Source organism: Homo sapiens, chromosome 7 (assembly GCF_000001405.40).
Source record: "Homo sapiens chromosome 7, GRCh38.p14 Primary Assembly".
Lineage (NCBI taxonomy): Eukaryota > Metazoa > Chordata > Mammalia > Primates > Hominidae > Homo > Homo sapiens.
The window spans coordinates 112,181,524-112,205,016 of NC_000007.14; the positions used below are offsets into that span (position 1 = coordinate 112,181,524).

The 23,493-nt window shown below is 39.6% G+C and overlaps 1 protein-coding gene across 12 annotated transcripts in view; it reads right to left on the bottom strand.

The window, feature by feature from the left end:
- The window catches only part of DOCK4 (dedicator of cytokinesis 4), a 480,290-nt gene that overhangs the window by 455,414 nt on the left and 1,383 nt on the right, over positions 1-23,493 (bottom strand). The gene's annotated exons all lie outside the window — the stretch shown is intronic.

Below are 23,493 nucleotides of genomic sequence, written 5' to 3' on the forward strand. Positions count from 1 at the left end.
GTTTGTGCCTGTAGGCTGAGGCAGGAGGACTGCTTGAGCCCAGGAGTTCCAGACTGCAGTGAGCCAAAATCGTGCCACTGCACTCCAGCCTGAGCAACAGAGTAAGACACTGTCTCAAAAAAAAAAAAAAAAAAAAGCTTGACACTGAAAACCAGAAGAGGAACTATTTAAATAAAGTATGATACGTTCCCACTGTGGAATAGTATGCAACTCTTAACAAGAAAGAGTAACAGGAAGCAGGATCACAGGATTGAAATGGATTGAACGGTACGTGCACTTGCATCTCACAGAATAAAGGAAAATCGTTTTCAGTGGACATATACAACCTCCTGAGGATTCTATGCTATTAAATCCGCAGGACAGCCTGGGCACCTGTACCCAAAGGGATCTGCCTCTAGGGTGAGAACTCCAGGCACTGGGGCACAGGGCCAGGAACCTCAACAATCACCATATCACTAATCTTTTTTACCTTTTGAATTTGATAGCAAATGCTGTCAAGTATAACATTTAAAACTGTGCATTCTAGAGTCACACCACCTGCCTTCAGATACTAGTTTTACATACTTGTCCAGGATGAACTTAGACAAGTTACCTGATCCTTATTCCTCAGTTTCTTGAGCTGAAAAATGCTATTAACACTGCCTACCCCATAGAGTTGTTGTGACACCTGTAAAGGACTTAGAATAGTGCCCGGCATGCAGAAGGAGTCAAATTTCAGTCTTATAGTTATTATTGTTTTCATATACAATTTTTCAAATCAATTTTGAAATACATTAATTTTTAAAAGACAGCTAGATTTATAATGTACTTATATGGAATGATCTCTCCATGATGTAATATTTTTTAAAAAAGCAAGCTACAGAACATAAATGATGTGATCACATTTTTAAAATTATACACACCAACGGAATAGGAAAGGATCTGAGAGGGGTGTTAGCATTGCATTGGCTAATGATCGATTTCAGGAAGAAGAGTGGGAGAAGGAGGCAAAGGAAGACCTCAGTTTCATATGCTACATTTTTCTATACTGTGTGAACTTTTAATCACAAGCATGTATTAATTGTGTGTGTGAGAGAGAAACACAATTAAGAGATTACAAAGGAGCAAAGCCTCTTGTCACTAAGGAAACTATAGGTCCAGAAAAATTAATAAATACCATCCCTTTCACTCACTGGACAGACAGAAGAAGCAGGTCAAACTGAAGTCAGCTTTATGGCCAATAAACTCTGCATGAAAGCACACGGCTAGGTGTGCAGGCATGTGCCTCACTATCAAGACCTAAACCACGAGACACAGAATACAATGAGAACACGATGGTGGCCTCTGGAGCTGTGCAACAGGGTGGCCACAGGACTGGACAATGCACTTGTTCAAATGTGCAAAAGGAACTGCCTGGGCCCCAGCACAGCTGGCTGGGCCCAGTGGAATTCTGGCTGGCTTCCAGCTGCCACTTGCTCCCTTCGTGCAGGACACAAACAGCATCACTGTACACAGGGCCCAGCTACACTCCCCTAGACTAAGTTTAGGTCATAAACATGTAGGCCTCCCACATTGCCACTAACCTTACAAATCAGAAGGCAGCCTCTCTACAGACGGAAGATGTCCATAGAAAGAAGGGAATGAGCAAGGCCAGCTCAGTCTCATCTTCCAAATTTACCAACCAATTGCCAATTGAGTAGAAAAGGGAAGGAGAGAAAGGGCAGAGAAAGGCCATAACTACCTCTTAATGGAAGGTCCTCCATTTGGGAATAGGAGGGGGAGAACTGTGAGCTCTTAACAAAGATACTATCAACAAAAGGCATTATCTAGAATTTTATAAAGCAGGACATCAATAAAACATGGAAACTGAAAGGGCAAAAGAAATTTCAAACAAAAGGTATTGATGAGAAAAGCATTCCAGGCTTTACTGATGGCCTGAAAACTATGTGACCTTGGCTTTCATGCCTTAGCTGAAAACAGTAAACACACTCACTGTCTTGTCACCTCACGGGATTATGTCTGCCAGGATTTAAACCTGGGTTTCTCAAAAAGGATGGCATGGGCATGTGGGGTAGGGCAGTTCTTCCTTCTGATGGTCATGTAGCATACCTAGTCTTGTCCAACAAATGCCAGGAGGGCTGTCCAATCACTCATTTATCAAAAGCAACACATTTCCAAACCCTGGGAGTGGGGGTGAGGGTTGGGTAGTTCAATCAGATTGAGAACCACTGATTTAACTTGGAGTGAGGCGATGTGTCAGCAACAGGTAGCAGTATTTCGATAGTGGTAACATTTATGGGAGTAATCCATGTGCGGTTTCCCAGCCACTCCTGCAAGCCTTTAGGCTTCCTTGCCTTTGCTTTTGCTGTTTCTTTATCCAGGAATACCCTCTCCTATTTCTTTCACCTAGTTAATTCCTACAGTACCTTCTCAACTCAATTCAGGTATCATCTTCTCCAGGATGCACGCACCTGCCCAGGTCTGAGGGCCCCTTCCTCTGTGCAGACTTTTATCACACCACCTTGCCTCTCCTAGGACCATTATCAGTGACCCTTTCTCTGACTTCTCCACACAGGTTTGAGTTCTTTGGAATTCACTCTTCATCTCTGTGCCCACAGCCCCTGCACGTGCCTAATGCACAGACCTGTATTTAACAGATGCATGAGTTTCTAAGCTTTGTGAGATCTGAAAACCTTCCACACTCCAACGTAGACCTAGTACCTACCACAATGCCTGGCACAAAGGAGGAACTCATACATCAGTGAAAACTGCACACACACAGCCACACAGGTGAACACCACTTGCTAATATAACTGGGCAGGGTCAGGTTTTCCCTAACGCACCCCTCTGTATGATCTGCAGGCACCTCTTGCAGATGCTGCTTTGGGCAACTTCTTCACAGTGCAGAGCTGTAGTCTCCACCCCGGCCTCACCCAGGGGCATTACAGTTTAGTCCTTTGGCTAACTCTAACTTCTCTGAGGTTTAATAGTGCATATTCTGCAACTTGTCATTCATTTTTCTTTTTTTTTCCTTTTGGAGCAAAAGGTACAAGCTACTAACCTCCTTTTGACTGCTTCCAAGCAGGATGGCACTGACTCTCCTCATAAAAACCCCGGCCCTTGGAGTCAGCTGGTGACTCCTTCCTGACAGAGAGTCTCTGTTCCTATGGTCACACGCCTTGGACACTGGTTCCCAGAAGTGTGAGCTAAGTCCTTCTCAGTGGGCTTGTGAAGCCTTTCTGCTCTTTCATTTTCTAGCAATAACACCTGTGTGACCCCTACAATCCCCCCCCCTTAGAGCTTGCAGAGGGTGTTGAGAGAAGAGATTATGGATGGTATCACAACCAACAATTTTAACTGCTCCTGACCTCCATGTGAAACTCAAGATCATCCACAGTAATTCCTCATGCTTGGAAAGCACTTTATAGTTTACATGGCTTCACAAAAATAATCTCACTTGATCATAATAATTGCATGGTAGATAAACAAGGCAAAGAGTATCATCCCTCTTTACAGAACAGGAAACTAAAGCTTAGGACCCTTCCCACACTTAAAAGAAAGAAACTGACATGGGCTATTTAAAAAATAAAGAATCTATAGGAAATCAATAATACTGAACTACAGAGCACCCGTTACACACAGCACTGGCAGTGTGGGGGCCACAGCTGGTCTTGGGAGTGCAGCATTGAAGTGCAGGCTGCATGCTGCTGTTCTCATCAGAAGCTGGTGACTGCCTGGCAGGAGCTCGTTTGATCCACTACTTGGTATGGACTATAAATTATGTGGAGGATGGTCACAGTTCTGCAGATGTGGAAAATAAGTACACAGAAGAATAAACTAAGTTCTTCAAACAAATAGCACTGGTCACTTAATTTGCTGTGTCTTAACTGTCTCATCATGAATACAGGAACAACTCTCTCTGTCTACCTTATAAGAGTTAAAAGGATCAAACAGGACAAGTAAGAAAGCATCCAAACAGGAAAAAGTGGAATAGGGTAGTATTCTACAAACAGGAAAGGGATGACTTAAGCATTCAAGTCTGATTCTGTTTATGAGGCCTGATGACTTCAAAAGGAAGTCAGAACATGGGTCACCCTCAGTTAAAAAAAAAAAAAGAAAAGAAAAAGTTCACTTGAAATAAAAGACACCTTCAATAGTCTGACCACAACATTTGAGTGACACAATGGTGTTATAATTAGCTCTCCCTTGTACTGCCACAGATCCATCTCTAAAGGACAGGCAGGTCTCTACTTAACGTGTTCCATTCTCACTACCTGCTCCTTCCCACACCAATGAATGCACAGTCTTAAACTGCCTTTCCTAAGCGGAATCCAGTCTTTTATAGATCAGCTGGCAACTACTGCCAGGTGGGAAGGTGCCTGCCATCACTGGCTGCAGCTGAGGGTAGGAGTCACTTTGGTGGAAGGACCACCACAGCTGCACACTTAGGGCTGACGGCTGAAGCCCCTGCCTTCTGGAAGCACACCATCCTTGGCTGAGTCTCAGACACTACCTTCTGATGAGTTCTGCAAGAGTGCTGGGCTAGGCCAGGGGGCAACTTCACTGGGACATCCTCGGGGGATCTCCATTGGAAGCAGACCGAGCAGAGGTTTCAAGATCACAGGCTGCCCAAACTTTAGCCCTGGCTCTGCACCAACAACCACCTTGCACCCCTGCATCCCAGTGGGGTTGCTTGGTTTCAGGGAACCTGTGCTTCAATATTTACTATGAATTTTGTCAGTTGCTTAGCTTTATGGTAACAGACACCCCTTATTCCCATACCACCACCCCAAACAAAACAAAGAGTAATGAAGACATGACTGGGAAGACACTACAACATACTGACTAAGAAACCAGGCTTCAGAATCTGAAACCAAATCAGAGTTCCACAACTCAATTTCCTTGTGATCCTGGACAGGTTCTAGAACATTTCTGTTCCTAAATTTCTCACTAGTAAAAAGGTGGATAAGAATAGTACTCACATCATGTAGTTGTCATGAGCACGGAATGAAATGATGCATGTATGACCTTGGCATAGGGCCTGACACCTAGTAAGAGTTCAGTAAAGGTTTACTATTATTATAAAACAAGGTACTGCTTATAGTAGTCTGTATCATCACAAAATATGGTAGCATTAACAATTTGAAATCAAATTAACATTAGTACTGAGGCAGAAATGGAAATTAAAGAATCTTCTCATTGTCCTTACTAAGACACCCACAGAGAAACCACTGCATTTGGACCTAATATTCACCAGGTATGCCACATAATTTTCCTATGGGGAAACATTAAAACAAAACATGTCAGTTCTCCTTTAGAGTACTATAAGAACTCTATTTGGAGGGTAACAAAATTTCAGGGACATATAAAAGAAGTTGCTTATTTATTAGACAAACAAAAGTCACCCAGCAAATATGCCATGGCTATTAAAAATAGATTGTCCAGGGAGGAAGAATAAACCACTAATTAAACACTTTTGTTTCTCTTTTTTTTTAAGCCATTAATACTGATACCTAGAGAGAAAAATAAAAACCAGAAATACTTTCAAAAGCCAAGCATGATAGACTAGCATTTATCAGTTACCTTTTTATTTTCAATCCTCAAGAAATGCAATCGCCCAAATAAATTTTAAGTATACCAAAACACTAAGAAATTACAAAACTCAATAGCAAAATAACTCACGTGTTACAACCATAATTACTTCTATAACTAGAAAATTATTATCCTCATAGGAAATCCTGGCAAATTGCTGAAAACATTTCTCTTCTGAGTTAATCTAGGAGGGAAAAAAAATAAAACTTCAGAGTCCAGTCACTTTGAAGTCCTTATGCCCAAAAAGACATTATCTCCATCAATTGTCTACATGCGAATAATTTCAAATGTCTTTGTCTGTGCAACAGCCACATTTCCTTCTCTTATGATGTTTTTCTTCTCTCCCTATCCCATTTTCATTTTCACAGCTGTTTCTGGAGAATAAAAATGAAGGAACACTTTCTTGCTCTGCCTCTCCATGCTCCACTTTTTACAAGTCTTTGTCTGATTTACTACAGAGAACTATAACCAAACCCAAAAAAGAAATGGCAAGCGAAAGTAGGAGAGAAGAGTGTGCTTTTGCGCTCAGAAGCCACCACTTCTCAGGTGGAAAATAAGAATGTCATGCCATGATGACATTCTGCCTTGTGTCACAATGATTAATAGTCATAATTTTTTCCAATTAGTGGAGTAAATGCAACCAGTCGATGGAATCTGACCAATTTTGCACAGTATGGTCAGTGAGTGCTATAATTTGGATGTAGAATGAGATCTAAAATGATTATTTTCCATTTGACAGCTAAGTGCAATATTATATTTTCATCCCTTTTTTTCACAACTGAAAAAGAAAAGAAGACTTTCAGAAAAAATAAGTTATTTCCAAATATGACCCCTTTAACCAATGTTTTCTTTGAATTGGTACCATGTGACTCAAAAATTGAATATAGGGTTTAGTTAATTTATTTAAATAACTTAATAGCTCTGGCAATTCCCTGTTAAGGACAGAAAGACTTAGGGAAGTAGAGTGGTTTTATACAATATTTATCAAATACTTACCAAAATTAACAGAACCAAGTACTATAGGGAATTGCCCAAGGGCTTCAAGATAACACATAATGCTGCAAACATAGTATACTGTCTGGTAGAAGAGACCAGCACAAACAGTAAATATCTCATACACTTCACCTTCAGTTACTTGAACACAAACCAAAACATTTCAGATACAGAATACTTCAGACAGTTCCAATGACATCTAGTCAGAGTGCCCAAGAGACTCTCGAACTTACAATGAATTCTATAATTTCAAGGTAACTTGGAAATCACCTCATCAAACTATCCTTTCACAGCTGAGGCCCTAAGAAGATAAATGCTTTGCCTGAGTTCATACAGTTGTGAAAGAACCAAAATTAGAATCCTGGCCTCTTTCATAAGATAAACTGGAGTTAACCCTTTCAACTAGGTACTTTAGAATGATGATATCAAACAAATGTTTTTCAGATATGAAGAGCTTTATTACATCAGTGGTGCAAACTGTGCTGCATGGCATACGTGTCTGGAACACGCAATAATTCCATGACAATTCATACCCCCCAACCCAGAAGATTTCCCTACCACCACTTAAAGTAGAAGCATGTCAGCTCATTAGGAAAATCTAGGTAGTAACTTCAAACCTTGTTGTAACAGAATTTACATGCAATACTCCAGCCTCATTTTAAGTCAGTGGTTTTCAAACCTTGGTTTTCACAGTAAAGGGTGTTGTTGTTGTTCAAATAAATGCTCATATACACCCTCATCATATAAAAGCAGCATTTTATCCTACTAAACTTATTTTATCTTTCTGAATTTATATTTTCTCAGTATCAAGTCAGTAAGAACAATGACGAGGGTTCCTGGTAGCCCATGTCACACCACTGCAAATGAGAAAGAGGGTATCCTTCTTCCCAGCTGAGACATCCCAAAATCCAGCCACCATATGCAGAGCATACCATACAAGTGTGTGACAGATCACTGCCAACACAATGTTCTAGTGAATAAGCCTATTCTAATGAAAACAAAAATTTGGAATGGGAAGCTATAAATAACAATTGTAGTCTATTTCTTCAGCATGCCATATATTTCTATATTTTGTGTTGGTTATGCTGTGGAGTGAAAATGCTGTTTCTCACCAATGGCTAATTGCATATTTGGTAGGAGTTTTGTTTCTGTCTTTTGATAACAGCTTGCCTTGCTATCTCAAGATACTCTTATTCTGGAAAAAAAAAAAACTGTGGTGGGAAATTTTTGTTACAAAATGCAATCACTAAAAGGTTGGAAAAGCACCCCAAACTTGCAGGAAGCAGTAAAAATGCCTAAGATCCAGTACTGACCGAAGATTTTCTACAACTGACCATTACATGGTGGCCAGAGGATATGACAAGCAGATGTATCTGAGTATCTTCTGGCATTTAAACGGAGTCTAGCAGTCACATGGTGTTGTAAAGACTTCAGGTGTAAATACCCTATTAAAAATTTATACCTACACACACTGACTCAAATAACATGTACATTTTCACTATATGTTACAATTTATTATGTAGCAAATGTTATACTAAGAGCAGAGGATACAATAAAAATAATACAGTCCTATCTTCACTGAAATTCAGCGGTTGGTGGTAGGTTTCTTCATGACATAGCAGCCTAGCCTTCTTGTTTTTATTCTCTGTCTGGGTTTTGTTTTTTTTTTTTTTTTTTTTTGAGATAGGGTCTCTATATTGCCCAGACTGGTCTCAAACTCCTGGGCGCAAGCAATCCACCCGCTTCAGCCTCTCAAAGTGCTGGGATTACGGGCATGAGTCACCACACCCGGCTTTCTGGGTTTTTTCAATGGCAATTTTACATAGTCACAGGACAAACAGAACCACAATGTATGTTTCAGATTTTATGTAACTAATTTCATATACTTTTGACAAATTCTATCACTTCTCTCACAAACACTTGTTTTCCTCTGTGGATGTCGGGGGGTTGCCAGGCCCCAGTCAGGATACCCTCATCCACTCAACAAAGCCTGGATTATACATCCTGGACAACCTTGTATATAAATGTAACAAATAACTACAACACGCTGAGCTTTGGGCTTTCTCCCTCATCCAAGGAACCCATTCATTCATTGATTCAACACTTACTGAACTTACTACAGGTTAGCTCTGTGTTACCCTCTAGAGAAATCAAAGCTGAACCACACAGCATCTCTGGCCTCAAGGGCTTCCCTACACTGTAGCAAAGTCGGACAGTTTCAAAACAGCAGCAGCAAAGGCCCTGAGAGAGGCAGCTGCAGGGCACAGAGCAGGAACAGAGGTAGAGCAGTACTCTACCAGGAGGAGTAGAAAGAGACAGACACTCTCAAAGAACAGACATTGCAGTTAGGTTTTCCAGGTAAAGAAGCAGGAGGTGGATGGTCAGCCCAGGAAGCATTTCAGCAGTTGCAGAGGCAACAGTCCTCAAGTAGCCTGGCATCTCTGAGGAGCCAGTGGTTCCATAGGATGGAGGACAGCGTATGAGAGAAAGAATTGCCCAGCACGGGATGAGATTGCAGACAGGGGCCGATTTAGGAGGGAACTTGTGTACCATAAAATGACTTTGAACTCTATCCTGACTGCAAAAACAAAAAAAAAAAATTAAAGATTTTGTTTTTTACAAGTGAACTACATCAACAAATTTGCTTTATGAAAAAGGTCACTTGTGGCTTAAGTCCAAAGCATGTACTAGAGAAAGGAGAATGCAGAAAAGGAGAAAGATTAGAAGACTACAGCAGTAATTCAGACCAAAGAGGTACCTATTAAGCACACCAAGGAGCATACCAACTCCTTGGACAGGTAGGACAGGGCTTCTCTGAGCATAGATGAAGCAGAATGTGAAGCCCCAGGTCCCAGCAGAGCAAGGGCTTCCAGTATCAGAACCACAAGCCTCAGAGCTCAGGGTTTCTCTTGCTCCTCCAATGAATGGGAATCCTCCCTTTTTTCTAGCCCCCTACCTTCTAGGCATCCCTGTTACTGCAGGTTTCTTGTTTTGTTTAGTTTATTTGTTTGAGGCAGGGCCTCATTATGTTGCCCAGGCTAGAGTGCAGTAGCTAGTCACAGGTGGGATCACAGCTCACTGCAGCCTCAAACTCCAGGGCTCAAGCAACCCTCCTGCCTCCGCCTCCCAAGTAGCTGGGACAAGTGTGAGCCATCACGCCAGCCATGAATTTTATTTTCACTCCAGGGTTCCTCCCTGCTTCTGGTCCATCCTCACTCAAAGACGCACACATTTATTCCCTTCACGTCACTCAGCACTGTTTGGTCCTTGGCTCCCATTTCCCTATTTCTCCCCACCCCTCTAGTACCCATCCCCATCTCCTGAGGCACCTAGTGGCTCCTCTGTCACCACTGTGCCCCACACCCCCACCCACCAGCAGTCAGCATACTGACTGACCATCACTACCACAGACCAATGCTAGAGTAAAAAGACAACGTGGGGACTTATTTCACATAATACTGGTATTAACACTAGTATCTTATTTAAAAAATAAAGTATAGTGAGCAATTTCTTCAGCACTGCCCATAGAACCCCAAAGCCTGGGGCTGTGCCTCCAGATTCTGGCCCTAAGTCGTATGTACAAAGGTGTGATACCATGAAGGGACCACATGCTTCAGGCTGGGACAGATGAGTGCCTGAATCTCAGCCCTTCACAGGTGGGTCCCCTGCAACAAATTACTGGCCCTCTCTAGGTCTGCTGTAAGGCTGGAGTATGTGCACAGGGCCAATCACACAGGCCCAGCCCTTGGTAAGCATTCATCCTAAAGCTGGGTTTTCCTCTGCCTGCCCACTCTTATTTTTCTGTAATTTAAATATGGATATGTTTAAATTATATACTATATAACATTACATACTATATATACTTATATAATATATATTATAATTATATATAAGTATACTTAAATATTATATATTATATAGTATATAACTTAAACATAGTATAATTTAAATATAGTATATATACAGTGTTTGTGCTTGTGTGTGTGTATATATATAGTGTGCATTTATATATAATTATATACTATAGTTTCTATTTATCCTTCCCAAAATCTCTTGAAGGAGAAGAATCGATCCTAAATCCATCTTTCTTCCTCTGCCCAGTCTTAGAAGGAATCACACACAAAAAAAGATAAACCATTTTCCAAGATACTTAACATCGGTCAGGTGACAGGAATAAGAGGGGACAAGGGGGAGGGGAGGGGGAGGAGGTGGAAATTACCCAAAAGGAAGAGGAAGAAGGTTTTCCAGATATTTAAAATGTGATTCCACTCAGCTGTTTATCTTGGGCGATCTTAGCAGCCGGTGACTCACTCCTATGGGAAGTATCTCAATATGAAACTTCTATTCTTTTGTAGAAGTTCTGAGTCTTCCAGGATATGAGACACTCTTTCCTCCTCAGGGCTGTTTCTTCAGGTGCACAAGTGAATAATATCATCACCATCCCAAGTCCTTATCTTCATTTTAAAGCTTGAAGGGGAAATATCTGTCTTAACTTTCACACTGATTTATCTGTGATACTTTATGTACTCCCTTACTGTGTATTTAAAAACAAAATCAGGGTAACATCTATCTTGAAGAAATGTTGTTCAAAGTAAATGAGATAAAACTATGAAACATTTCTAGCTCCTTCACTTGTCCAGTCATCCAGTTCTATATCTCTTTGGATGCTTATCAAGCTAGCATATTGCCTTATACATCATAGGCATATACCATAAATAATCATCCAACAGAAGTTTTTCTACCAACATGTCGTAAAATATGCCCTTATGCTTGTCACTAAGAAAAAAAAATGCAACAAGTAAATCTTTAGAGGAAGGTACTAGCTACTCTCAGGAAACACATACTTAAGGATAGTAGAAAAAGAAAAGAAATTCCTCCAAATATTGCTTCATTCTCTTCAGGGACCTGATATTCAACAGCCAGGACTTTCAAAAACAAAGTACTCCTAACCCAATGCCCCAACCAAAGTTTCATATAATAAAACTTCCATCTACTTTTTAAAAATGCTAACCTATATGATTAAACCTGTCACCCTAGGTTTTTATAAAAAACTGTAGCAAAAAGAAATGAAGCATCTGAAGACTCTACCTCTTTTGGTTGCTTTGAAGGCACCCAAAGTGATGTGACAACTCAAGACAATGTGAGCAACTTTGCAAAAATGCCATTATTCAAATAAACAGATACCTGGAGTTACTAGTCGATATCTACCATCAAAAAATCTAACTCAAATGGGTGCAGTCGTTTATACTTGTAATCCTAGCACTTTGAGAGGCTAAGGCAGGAGGATCACTTGAGCCCAGGAGTTCAAGACCAGCCTGAGCAAAATAGTGAGACCCTGTTTCTACAAAAAATGAAAATAAAAATAGCCAGGTGTGGTGGTGCATGCCTATAGTCCCAACTACTGAGAAGGCTGAGGCAGGAGGATCACTTCAGCCTGAGAGATCAAGGCTGCAGTGAGCCATGATCACACCACTGCATTCCAGCCTGAGCGACAGAGCCAGACCATGCCTTAAAAAAAAAAAAAAAAAATTCTAGCTCAATTAAGTCTGTGCCTCCAGAGGTGGGCCTGCAGAGTCAGATCTCAAATCACAGAGAGAGCCAACACTAACTACATTGATTACACTGAGGTTGAGGATCCTGCTTCTACTTTTTTTATATCCCTCTTCCTACAATCCCTAAAATGTCTTTAACCCTTCTGCTTGGGCTGCCATATAAAGTACCACAGGCTCGGTGTTCTAAAGCATGGAAGTCCCAAATCAAGGTTTGGCAGGACTAGTTCCTGGTGAGGACTCTCTTCCTGGCTTGCAGACTGCCACCTTCTTGCTGCACCCTCACATGGCCCTTTCTCATGCTACCTATGAAGAGAGCATGTGAGCTCTCCAGGATCTCTTCTTATAAAGACACAAATCCTGTCAGATCAGGGCCCCACCCTTATGACCTCATTTAATCTTAGTAACCTCCTTACTCCATATATATCCATATTGGGAGTTAGGGCTTCAACATATGAATTTTGAAGGAATACAAACATTCAGTTTATAGCACCCATAAATAAGCAATTATTCCTATTATTCTGTAATTGCTAAATAAAACCTCTTCAAATTGTTGACTCTCTATGTTGAAAGGTCTGTCCTGCACAAATTATCCCTGGGTCCATAGTCCAACAGGACAGAGTTTATAGAACAAAGGAAAAGTGAGCAGTGACACCAACATCAGTCTTCTAAGCAAACATTTCATGGAGAGAGCAGAATTTTTACCTTAGGTGAATTCATCTGAAGCTGTTTCAACAAATTAAAAGAGCAATTAGAGCTCCCTTTCAAAGGCTTAGACCCCACAGCTATATGAAAACACATCTTCACTGTGGATACTGGAAAATGAACACAGCAGTGACATCACAGGCAGTCAAACTCATATAACAAGGAAAGCTACTTTAAAATTTTGAAACACAGTACTTTCTGCACATAAATGACAAACTAAATTCAGGCTGTCCAGACTCAACTTCTACCAGTCCAACCTCTAATCCTGAAAGGAAACCTCACAAAGGAAATAATGTTTGGCTTATAGAAGAACTTACATAATGATTTTCTGATTATAAAAGAAATGTATGCTAATTTAAGAAATTACTAGAAAGTATGAAATTAAAAATAAGCCATCTCCTCAATTATAATAATTGGTTGTAAGAACATTACAGGTAATGTGTATGCCAATTCTTCACCTCTGATAAGTATTTTCCCATTTTAAAACTCATTACAATAATTTCTACATAGTGTATACATGATATTGCCTAACCTGGGGCAAAGAACATAAATATTTAGTCTTCTGAATCAATTTCTATAACTATGGATGAGAGTATTAATGGAGATTTTACATACAATTAATACAAATATAGTTCTCCTAAAAAAACAAACTGGAGGCTGGGCGCAGTGGCTCACGCATGTAATTCCATCCCTTTGGGAGGCCAAGGTGGGCAGATCACCTGAGGTCAGGAGTTCGAGACCAGCCTGGTCAACATGGTGAAACCCCATCTCTACTAAAAATACAAAACTTTGCTGGGCACAGTGGTGGGCACCTATAATCCCAGCTACTCGGGAGGCTGAGACAGGAGAATCACCTGAACCTGGGAAGCAGAGGTTGTAGTGAGCCAAAATTGTGCCACTGCACTCCAGCCTGGGCAACAGAATGAGACTCCATCTCAAAAAATAAACAAACTAGCAAACAAACTGGAGAAGGGGCAAACCTTTACTATGTGTGCAATTTTTTAGGAATCCTCAGATCTTAATGTTTTTCATCCAGACTACTGGAGAAAACCTCAGAGGTTTCTTCTCTCTTCATTCTTTATAGAACTGCCTGTTGATGTTTTGGGTTTTCGTATTTCTTTGAGACCCTGGCTAACCCCTGAGCCTGTTATCAAGGCAGCTTTACAAGCTCCTCAACCAACTTTGGCTACCAGAGGAGAATGGAGAACAGGTTCTCTCCTCTCCCCACAAAGTGAATAATGTTTCATCCAGGATCTCGGTTGGGGCTATTTTCGGTTGCCTTATGTACATGCATCCCCACGTTCCCAAACCTGCCTACTTCTGGTTGCCAACAACGGATGAGATTATTCCATTTTGGAGAAAAAAAAAAATAAGACATAGAACCAAATCTCCACGTTTCTGCTTAAAGACTTCAGGGAGAAATTTTTGGTTAATGTCCAATTGATAGTCTAATAAACAGCAAATTTCTTGGTTTAGGAAAATGTTTCACAACTTGGGAGATAAGTTGTTAGCAAATTCAACCAGGAAAACTTACAAATTTCATATCCAGAAGGGTTCTCACCAACCACCCTCCCACGAGGGGGCACAAATGGGGGAGGAGAACAAATACACATGTGTTAGTAGTTTCCAAAAGCCTCCCATGTAAATGTCATGCTCTCCCCTCTTCCTCACTCTCCCGTTTTCTTGAGAAACAGCCATGTTTTCGTTCATTGCTAAGTGACAGATGCCTGTCCAGATTTAGTTGCCTTCCCGCTTCCATAGAGATGCAAATGTGATCACTGATTAAGGCAACCTGGATCTCGAACCTCTCTACAACGCGAAGGACTGAGCTAAAAATAAAGGTATGGGTTCAATTCCACTTTCAGATCTGCGTTCAAGGCTAGTTGATGTGTACAGCTCCAAGCCAGGTTCCCAGTTGTAAGTTATTATATACCATGTACCACGGTTTTAGGGCAATTCAGATGAAATCATCTCTTATCCCCCTACCTCCTTCTCTGTCACCAATACCCTGCCAGAAAAACTACACTATCCAGTAAGCTTTGTTATTGCAATACTTTCAAAGCAACTACAAAATCACTGTCCTTATGAAGACCACAGTACACTTCTCAATGGTGAAGTGGCATCTTCTATAGACCCCTTTCCACCCACCTACCCACCTTCCTGTCCTGCTCGTTTCTGAGAGTGGTCATCTCTCAACAGAATTAAAAAGATGGGGTGAAAAGAGAAGGATTACAGATGCTTCCGGCAGTAAATGGCGTGCTCCAAGTTGGATGTATTGACCTGGTCTCTAAGCTGGTGACAGAGAGTGGGGAAGGGGCAATGGGTCTTCCTGTCATCTTTCCAGTCATTGAGGCCTCTCTGTTTAATAAGGGAAAGCCAAAAGAAGCCACCAATAGGTTTTTTTCTCTTTTTAATCCAGCTTTATTGAGGTATTGTTAACTAATACAAATTGTATATATTTAAGTTGTACAAACTGATGTTGATATCACCTTAAATATACACACATACATTGTGAAATGATTACCACAATCAAACTAATTAACTATCTAGCACCTCACACAGTTCCCTTTTTTTCCTGTAGTGAGAATACTTAAATCTATTCTCTTAGCAAATTTCAAGTATACATTATTGTTAACTATAATCACCACGCCGTACCACTGAAAACCAAGAAAACATTGGTTTTCTTCAACCAGTTCCACCTGCCTTAGGGAAATTTCACGTGAATTTTGCCAACAGACGTTCTGTCAGACTTAGTTTTCAGTATTATTAATGTTTGCCTCTTTCTGTGAATTTATTGTTATTTCACTGATTAGTTAGGAGAGCCTACATGAGGGGAAGGGAACCTAGTGCCATCATAAGCTAGAATTCCTTCCTTTAAGTCACTTATTTTTCAGGAGTGCCATAGTATAACTTTAAGAATTCTTGTGGTTCCTAAGAGGTATTATATATTTACCAAAAAAAAAAAAAACTGTATGTACAAATCTATTGCTTTATATATTGAAGCATTTTTCCATTTTTAGATGGGTGCGTGTTCTTAAATGCTGTTTCAGGGATGTATAAATCTTGTTCATTGAAATATTATTCGTGCACTCTGTTTTTCAACATCCTTACTGGGAAATCTCACAAACGTGCACAATCTGGCATGAAATATTTGTTTGGGAGAAGACTGTCACAGACATAGAAATAACTAATGCCTTAGCTAGGCAACGCCCTAGAGGGAAGCAAGAAAAGACTGTAAAATGTAGTTTACGACCAACTCTAAATGGACAGCTAATATTTCTTACTTGAGAATCCTTTGTACCCATATTAATAAAATGCCTCGAGATGACTGCTGTTTGAAATTTGGGGTCTGTCATGTTAAAACTTAGAATGAACAGGCAGACTATACATAATCAAAGTCAAAGCAATTAGCGAAGTCTCATTTAGACTCATTACTTCAGCCTTCACTCCTAAGCCAAATAATCTTTAATCACACTCTTCAGCACAGAACTTCTCTTTTTTGGTGCAGACTCACTTTCTACTAGACCTCATCACCTGAATGTTTTGCAGGTATCTCAAAAATTGCAGGTATCTCAAACTCAAGGTGGCCAAACAAAAATCTTCATCTTACATAAGCCTGACCTGCCTAGAAAAAAAAAAAAAAAAAAAAAGTTGGTTCTTTTGTTGAATGGCACCTGTATTCATCCAGGCACCCAAGCCAAAAACAGGAAGACATCTGCTATAAATCACGTTTATATGCCCCCAAAATTCACATATTGAAACTGTAATCCTCAATGTGATGGTATTTGGAGATGGGGGACTTGGGGAGGTAATTAGGCCATGAGGGGGAGCCTTCATGATGGGATTCGTGACCTTATAAGAAGAGATGAGAGAAAGCTTGCTTCCTTTCCTCCCCATGACCCCTTCCCCCTACCCACGTGAAGATACAGCAAGAAGATGTCCACCTGCAAACCAGGAAGAAGGCCCTCACCAGGAACTGACTCAGCCAACACCTTGATCTTGGACTTCCTAGCCTGCGGAACTGTGAGAAACAAATTTCTTTTGTTTAAACTATCCAGTCTATATTTGTTATAGTATCCTGAGCTAAGACAACATCCTAAACTCCTTCCTTACTTTAACTCCTCATATCTGATGACCAAACCTGTTGCTTTCATTTCCTAAATATCTCTCAGATCTATCCACACTTCACCATGACAATGACTGCTAACCTGATTCATGGACTTATCTCTCACCTCAGTTACTGCAGTGCCTCTCTTTACTCATTTTTATGCCACCTCTTCCTTCATAAATAACAATGTGTAATTTAAAATTCAATACTGCTCATATTTCCAAACAGATTTTTTAAAAAAGAACTTACTGATAATCTATATATTCTAACAAAAAAATTGTTCTCATCTGTGCATCGACTGCCTCTTCTCTATAGGCTACACATTTTATGTAGCTCTAATCATAGTCTATATTTACTCTTCTTTTGTCATTTAACACTAGATACCTGGAATATATTTTTGAAATAGTGTTGTTTATGAAAATATTTCATTTCATGATTGTCTGATGCTCCAACGTGCTCATAACCAAAACTGATTTAACGACTACATGGTCATGTAAGTTGTTTCACAGACAACACGGCAAGGGACAACTCTGTGCATAAAGTGTTTTGTTGCTATTGATTTATTTTGTCACATAAACTTTAAGGGGTGGGATTACTGATTCAAACTTCTGCTAACCACTGTCATACTAGGTAACATGGCGTAATGGCTAAGAGAACAGTTTCTATGCAAGACAATTTAGGTTCCAATCCTAGCTCCACCATTTACAGTATGACCTTAAATAAGTTACTTAATCCCTGTATGACTCAATTTCCTGTGAAATATGAGTGATAACTGAATCCTCCTTCATGAGGTATCATGAAGATTAAATGACAATATAAGACAAGCTCTTAGAACTGTGCTTGACATGTAGCAAGTGCTCCACAAATGCTATTTTATATTGCAGTTTCCAATAAAAGTTATATAAAAGTTTCCAAAAGGATCATGATTACCATACATTCCTCAGGGTACTGCATATCAGTTTTACTGCAGTTACGTTACCAAAGGCATTCCACTTTTTTGATGATTTTTATTTACTTAGTAGTTACCCAATGTCATCTTGGCACAATTTTTTTTAAATGCCAGAGAGTCCAAGAGTTGTTCCTGAAGTAAGTTTAAGTTGCTTAAATGAAGCTAGGCTTGGGGAACTTTAATTCCTTATTTTTTTGTCTTATATACTCTAGCCAAATAAGCATATAGTTCACTTTTTTAATAAAACAAGTTATACAAGTTGCCTTGTCTTTCTAATAATGATCAGCAACATAAAAAAAGGTACAAAAGAATAGTGAGTGGTAAACCTACAACTGGCAAAGTACCTCAGTAAACCATTATCTTTACTCTTCTGTTATAGTGACCAGAGAGTGTTGTCAAAGGACATGATACAGAAGAGTCTAATATTGGTCATTATGTAATCCTTGTCAAAAAGGTCCTGGTAGGAAGACATACAAGTACTAAAAGAGAAAACTTACGCAATGCATGTGATGGCTTTAAATATTTGTTCCATCTTTAATAAGAAATACTACAGAAGACAGACTTTGACTTAGACTGAAGGAAAAAAGGATAATTAAATTCTTTGTTAAAATAAACCCACATATCTGACTATCAAAGACAATAACCACCACCACCATCAACTCCTTGCCAATGTCATGAAAGGAACTTCACAGAAACCCAGTAAGATGTGAGTTGCAGTCCTTCTGGTATCACAAATGTAGCATTTAAAGCAGTGTTTTTCAAACTGTGGGTCAGGACCCATTAACAAGTCAATTTAGTGACAAGTATTTTTTTTAACAAAAAAGAATAGAACATTACATAGAGTATAAGCAAGTGCTGTTTTAATTATATGTGTGTGGGGTGGTACTGGGGGATATTTATATATATACTAGGTCAGGAAATTAACTATATTTCTTATGGGTAATAGTCAAACAAGATTAAAAGCTACTAATCTAGAGTAAGTCACTTAAACTCTATGAAACTGTTTTCTCATCTCTTAAATAGAAATTACCATTCAACTTCAAAGGGTAGACTCAGATAAAATAATTTCACTTTTTAAGTAAAACATTGTATTACTGTGTTACGGTTACAGCCTTTTAGAAGGGTTTCATTAGAGTTTAATGTTCCTCTGATGTATATATTCACAGCATGAAGTCACTGTGATAGAAACATAGACATATTGTATCAAACATAACTCAGAAAATGTTGTCTCCTTTTGGAAAAGAATAGAGCTAGAGATAGGAAATCCTAAATTTCTTGAAATTTGTATAATCTCCCTCGTACTAGCTACCATAACAGCCTCTAAAATAAAAAAAAAAAAACAAAAAAAAACAAGATCATAGAGGAAGAGCAGCATCTCTATGTGGCTTCAGGGGCCTTGTGAAGAACTGTCACTTAGGGGAATGACCAAAAGAGGGGAACATTTTTATAGACCATTCCCATAGGAGGCCAGATCAAGAACATAAGCTGCTATCCCACTGTCTGTATGGCCCTTCGGTGGTATTTTACTGGGAGGTATAAATCATTTCTCTTCTATTCCCACTTAAAGTTTAGAATCCTGTGTCAGGCTCTAAATGTCACAAACAATTCCAAGCAGAACATTATTATTTAGCTTTACATGCTATGTAGATACATCATAGGACCACTAATAGAAAACACTTTAAGAAACTGTTAGCTAAGAAACTACAAAAAACTAAGAGTAAAGGAAACACATCCTTATTACGCTCTATCACACACATACGCTATGATTAAAGCATCTTTCTAAGGAGAAAGACACCTAACTATCCTGTATGAATACGAGAAGGTGCATCTTCTTCCACCAACATAGAAGGGGCTTTAAAAAGGAACATGATTCCTACCCAGATGAGTTCAAAAACTCCTTCAAGAAAAATAGAATACAGGAATTTATGTGATGACTGAGTGATACTCGCACCACACAATTTATTTTTTAAATGACACTGTGACTTCAGATCAGCTTGTTCTGAGTTTTGTTTCTTATAAGGTTCATGGATTTTCTGCACCGATCAATCCAGCCCGTGTTCTCCTGTCAAGCTTAACTAAGCTCACACATGTAAAACATCTGGCTAGGTTTGAGGGGTGCAGCCTTCAGCTCAGGAAGATGCCATGACTCATCTGTGAATCTGTGCATAAAAGCCTGTTGGACAAATGAACGCAAAAACAATCTGCAAAGGTCTTAGCTTTCTCCATGAATAATTCCCACCACTTTAAGGCGGGGTGGGGAGGGGGGAGGAATGGGGGGGTGTGCTAACAGATGAGGACATGCAGGAGGTAGAGGTAATCTGAGGAAATTGGTGAGTATGCGATCAAGAATGCTTTAGTCACCATTCTGTGCGATAGATCACTAAAGCATGTTCCCCCTGTCTCACCAAAACTTTGTACACTTTGATCATCATCTCCACTTTCCCCAACCACCCTCTTCCCCCAGACTCTGGCAACCATCACTTTAATCTCTATATTTATGAAGTAAACTTCTTTAGATTGCACATGTAAGCAAGATCATGCAGTACTTATCTTTCTGTGCCAGACTTACACTTACTTCATTTACTATAATACCCTCCACATTACTGAAAATGACAGGATTTTCCCCTTTTTCAAGACTATATAATATTCCATTGTGTATAGATACTACATTCTCTTTACCCATTCATCTGATGATGGACACTTAGGTTGCTTTCATATCTCAGACATTTTGAGAACTGCTTCAATGAACATGGGATAGCAGATATTTCTTCAGCATACTGATTTCAATTCCTGTGAATATATACCAAGCAGTGGAATTGTTGGATCATATGGTAATTCTATTTTTAGTTCATTGAAGGTCCTCCATGCTGTTTTACATAACAGCTGTATTAATTTACATTCCCACTAACATGTGCACAGCGTTCCCTTTTCTCTGCACTCTCACCAATACTTGTTACCTTTCATTGTTTTTATACAGCCATTCTAACAGATGGGAGGTGATATCCACAGAATGGAGATACAATAAATAACAATGCATTGTATACTTCAAAAGTGCTAGAATGGATTTTAAATGTTTTTTACACCACAAAAATGGTAATTATATGAGGTGTAATTTGTTAATAGCCTGATTAATCACTCCAACTGTAAACGTACATCAAAATATCACACTGTACACCATAAATATATACAGCTGGGTGAGAAGGTGCATGTCAGTAATCCCAGTTACTCAGGAGGCTGAGGTGGGAGTATTGCTTGAGGCGATCAACCAGGAGCTTGAGGCTACAGGCTATAGTGCACTATGATGGCGCCTATGAATAGCCACTGCACTCCAGCCTGGGCAACAGAGCAAAACCCTGTCTCTAAATTAAAAAAAAAAAAATGAAAACTTAAAAAATATATTATTATTATTTGTCAAGGAAAATACATTTAAAAAACAAACAAAATGCTTCAGTCACTGCCCATGGAGCTCCTACTAGCCAGAGAGAATCAAACAAATTGAGAAAGAGAGGAACCAGCACCTCAGTTCTGGCAGCTTGCCAGGTAGCGTTTGCTTACCTCTGATCTTACTTAAAAACCAAGTGAGATATGTCACAACAAAAGTGTCTCTGTCATAGCAGTCTCAACACAATGAAGATGTTTTTCTAACCAAAGAACACAGTTAGTTGGAAGAGCTCTACAAAATTAGTACCAGGGAAGGCTTTAGTTAACACTTGCCCCAGACGCTGGGACCCAGAAAGGCTAAGTGATTTACCTAAGGTTACACAGCTGGCAGCAGTGTCTAGCCCAGAATCAAGAGCTAACTAGAATCTCCTAAGGTGAAATTGCCTATCACTGTGCCTCTTAACATGATTTCTAAAAGACAAGGTTCCCTGTTCCTCAGAACTATAACTTCATCACTATACCTTTTCCTAAAATCAGAACACTTATGACTGACTTTTCGTTGTTTTAATGAATTTAATCATTCATTAAATGGGACGGTGCCTATACATCAGTTACGAAAAAGAATTTCCATCTCCGATACATTTAATTACAGATATAAAATTTAACTAATTTTACCCATGTTTACAGTATGCTGCTTAAAATTTAATCATAAGTATATAAAAGCATAATTATCTCATACATAAATGAGGGTATATAAAAAGTACCTTTGCAGAAATATATAATTTATACTAAAACGTCACATATTCTGTTACAAAGACTGATTTATTTCAAAGAATGAAGAAACTAAATTACCACTACACTTGGTAACAAAGATCTGTGCCCATAAGATCTTTTCTTTAACATCTGTAAGAACTACATGAGAAAAACACAAACATTAACCAAGGTTAAAAGAAAAAACAAACAACTTGCAATATAAGCAGCTATAAACAGTGCCCTCCATGGTGAAAAATAAAGTCCACACATAAGTATCCTAGCAAAAATTTCACTACACACACACACACACACACACACACACACACACACACACGCCTAACAGATGGATTCTAAAAAACAGCTAAGCATTCCACAATCCAAATGCTCAAAAATTAATAATAAAGGTTAATTAACATTCTGGCACATGTGATATTGAGAACAACAGCAGTAATTTGGGGCAAAAGACCCTCTCTCTGCTCTCGTCCTTCATCTCATTCAACCTCTTTTTCTCAATTGTGAGCACACCCTTCTGCCTCCCCTACTCTGCAATCAAATCACAACCACCCAAAACCGAGGTGTCTGCTGCAGCCCAAAACATTTGACTGATAATATCCGGTTTGCCATTCCAGGAAATCCCAGAGTGGTTTTTAAGCCTCTGCCCACCGCTTGTAAAGAAAGGCAAGAGAGGAACTAATCGATACCAGCACCCCAGCTGTGACCTGGCACATGAAGAAATCAAGAAAATAAATCCCATCCATAATCTGTATAATTTAACACTTGGAAGAAAGCAACATCTGGGATCGACTCCAAGCAGGACAGTTTTGCCTGGATGGATCTGAGCTTCCTGCACTGAGTGTTAAAGCCGCTTAGGAGGCGATGCCCTCGGGTCCCTCACCAGTCCAGCAAAGGGACTATCTTTTTCCCTAGCAAGGGTTAATCTACCTCCCAAAAAAGAGAAGAGTGAGGAGAACGAAAATAACAACTACTAACATCTACTCCTTGCCAGTAAAGAGGCTGGCAAAGACTCCTCTGACACTTTGAAGGAGGGAAAGCTGGAAACCTTTCCCAAAGGTGGGTTCAGGTCAAACTATTGTCTTGGTAATTAGTCACAATCCAGAATGGAAGCTAACGTGAAATGTGGGAATGATTTTGTTGAATCCTACAGTCCTTTCAATGGACCCCAAAGTCCTATCCCCAGGCAAAGTTGGGAAAAAAAAAAACAAAAATCCCCTCGGACTACGACTCCCTGGGAAGGCTTTCCAGATGTTTTAAATTGCAGGAAAATGAATTTAGAACATAAGCAGATATCTACACATCACCTAAATCACTAGACCTGTCCTCAATTTTAAAACACACACACACACACACACACACACAAAGTACACCAGTCGGCAGAACAGGGCATTATAGGAAATAAAGAGTGTTAGTAAAATCCATAATGCTTTCTGTTAGACCTTCTGGGAGGTTATAATTGCATTTGGCCG